General features: G+C 58.1%; 1 annotated feature.

Moving 5' to 3' along the window:
- Positions 2,178-2,873: an enhancer, noted in NCBI's record as "H3K4me1 hESC enhancer chr5:178795338-178796033 (GRCh37/hg19 assembly coordinates)". NCBI's record gives its function as "activates a minimal SCP1, AML or CMV promoter by ChIP-STARR-seq in primed H9 embryonic stem cells {active_cell/tissue: H9 hESC(primed)}" and the evidence as "EXISTENCE:reporter gene assay evidence [ECO:0000049][PMID:30033119]".

Below are 2,873 nucleotides of genomic sequence, written 5' to 3' on the forward strand. Positions count from 1 at the left end.
GACACAAACCACATTCATGGACATGTGAGCAACTGTGGAGGGGTCTTTTGGTCAAAAATGGAATCATTCCATAGGTATCAGCAGCCAACAGTTCTCACTTCCTGACACGTCGCGGCCGTCTATTGAGGATGGTAGCCTGAGATCTACTGCCTTCTCCAGCAGGTGCTTAAAAGCCCATAGCTGTGATGTGTTCAGCCACTCCCATATTTTTTATTGACATTTGTAGGTTGTTTGCAGGTTGTGCGTGTGTCTGTGTGTCTACCAGCAATCTTGTAGTAAGCATCCTTGCTTCTTTGTACACTGGTGCTCTCATTTCTGTAGGATAAAATCCCTAGAGTGGGATTGTGGGTTCAAGCTAATGTGTCTTTTAAGCTGAACAGATATTGCCGGCCAGTCTTCGATGGGATTGAGCCACTCCCCTGTCAGTGAGATCCCATGGGGGCGCGTCTCTGCCTCCCTGCTCGCTCAGTCTGCCGCTGCTCTCTCTGGTCTTTGCTACGCTCACTCCTGCACAGAGTGCCTCACTGTTTTCATTTGCACCTCCTGACCCTAAGGTGTGAGGCTGAGCACTGTTGCTTTTGTTTGACAGGCCGCTGAGGCACCGGATGGAGCCTGGGTTGCGGAAAGCTTTCCTGAGGCCAGGCACTCTGAGTATGGATGAGATGGCTTAGGCTGGAGAAGGGGAGGAGAGCAGTGCAGAACAGCCAGGTGGAAGCTGAGGGGCTCTGAGAGGGCTCAAGCTGGGTTTGAGGGGAGTCCAGAGCGTGCCCAGAGATTGGGGGAGAGGATGGGCAGTGGCCAGGGGTTGTGCACAGGACAAGGGTGTGGCCTAAGACCTCCACGTAGATGCCTTTAAATGGGACAGCCGGGCTTATACTAAGGCACTCTCTAGGGTTTCCATTCTAACCCAGCTCGGTCATCATCTGACCATCATCTCAGGAGCGCCCCTGCCCCTCTGGGCCTCGGTTTCCCTATCTTTAGCTTCAGGGAGCTGGCCCAGTTGATCTCAGTCCTTTCAGTTCTAGCATCTTCTGAGTGGTCAGCAAAAGCCTGCGCTAGCAGCCCCTTCTATAAACATTAATTCACGAACAATATTAAAGGCTGTGGGGGTCCCAGGGGGAATCCTGTGGAGAATCAGAGATTCCCAAGCACTCGTTCCCTGACCCTGGGGCCCACTTCGGGTGGTGAATGTGCGGAACCTTAAAGAGAGGGCTGGTGAGAGCTTGGCCTCTGCGTGACTTGGGCCATGAGGCTGGGGTCAGGGGACTGCTTGCCACCCCTTCCTCCAGGCCTCTGCGTGACAGGAATGCCACACGTCCCAGGTGCCCAGGCCAGGATTCTAAAAGGTGTCCTCATCTCTTCCCCTTCCCTCTGCCCCATTCGACCAAAGGAAAAGGTCCTGCTCACTCCTCCTGTTGAAAGACCAGGAGAAGGTGTCGCGGTAATGGCGGCTGCGTCCTGCCTGGGAGATCAGGAGGCCACAGAGTGTGCAGGGGTGGTGACCTCCTTCCAGCAGCAGGTCCAAGGCACGGGGGTCCCACGGGCCAGGTGGGAGGCTGACGTGGGGCACCCTGCCCAGGGTTTTTTCACATGGGGTCCTGCCGCAGAAGGTGCCTGCCACACAGAGGGGAGCTGGCAGCAGCCAGCCGCCTGAAGACTCCCCCAACCCGCCCCTCCCCGCACAGCAAGGAGTGCAGAGCCCAGGAAGCTCTGGGCAGTGGCTCCAGGAACCCGTGGGCTGCAGACCGCCTCTCCACGGCAGCCCCAGCCTGTGAGCGCCCAGCAAGCCACGGAGCACAGTTGAGATGGTGACGAATACTGTGGACTAGAAGTCTAAAGGGGTTGAAAAGCGATGGCATTTGAGATGTAAAGTGGCTGTGAGACTGTTTATTACTGAAGGGCCAGGCCGGGTGAGGACATGGATGAGGTCAGCAGACTAGACAGGTTAGCTACGGGGCCAAGCGTTCTCCAGGGGCCTCCAGGCTGGCCCGAGATGCCAGGTCCTCCCAGGGAGGAGGGCTTTCAGCCCCACCCTCGAACCCCTGCCCTGCTTCCTGCCAGCCCAGCACCTCTTGGCATTTCTCCTCTAATGAGCCCTCGGAACGCTCTCCTTTGCTGACTCAGGCTCTCATGGCGATGGCCTCCTCAGCTGTCCAGATCATTAGTGAAAAGGTTAATGGATCCCGCTGGGCAAAAAGCCTGGGTATTTTAGGGACCTGCCCTCCTCTGTCCACATCCCCAGGCAGGGTCCCCGCACCCAGCAGAGCACAGACTTGGGAGAGGAGGCTGCAGCCCGCAGCAGAGAAAGAGGATGAGGCGGCCCCGGGTGTGTGCAGAGGATGCAAGACTGGCCAGGAACAGCACCGCCAGCCTCATTCTCAAGGTTGAGGGTGGGACTTGGACTCACGGAATGTCCCAGGCTATGCCTCGTCACCACCTCCAGCCAGGACCTGGGCCTTTCTCTTCTCCACGGCCGTTCCCAGGCCTGCCTGCAGCAGCTATCTCCAAGCCACCCTTGTGGCTCTGCAGGAGGTGATCCGCTCCTCTTCTGTGCTCTGGGATCGTGGCTTGCCTCGGGGAAGACAGGCCTGAGGTTCTTCAGGCCCAACTCTCAGGGACACTGCTGGGAATCCCAAACCAGGCCTTGTCTCCCGCCTCCTCACCCTGGCCACACACTCGTCTGCAGAACAGATGGATGAGCTAAGGAGCAGATGTGCCAGGTTCTGCCTGGAGCCACTGGTCCCAGTGGGCCTCTGTTGTACCCCGTGCACCTCTCCCCAGGCACAGCCTCGTGCCTCCCCTGGCTGGAGTCAGGGGCTCCTTCCTGTGCCCCTGCTATGCTAGGCCCAGCCCTGTACCTGGCCTGGCCAGAG

The sequence above is a fragment of the Homo sapiens genome, chromosome 5 (assembly GCF_000001405.40).
Source record: "Homo sapiens chromosome 5, GRCh38.p14 Primary Assembly".
Taxonomy (NCBI): Eukaryota; Metazoa; Chordata; class Mammalia; order Primates; family Hominidae; genus Homo; species Homo sapiens.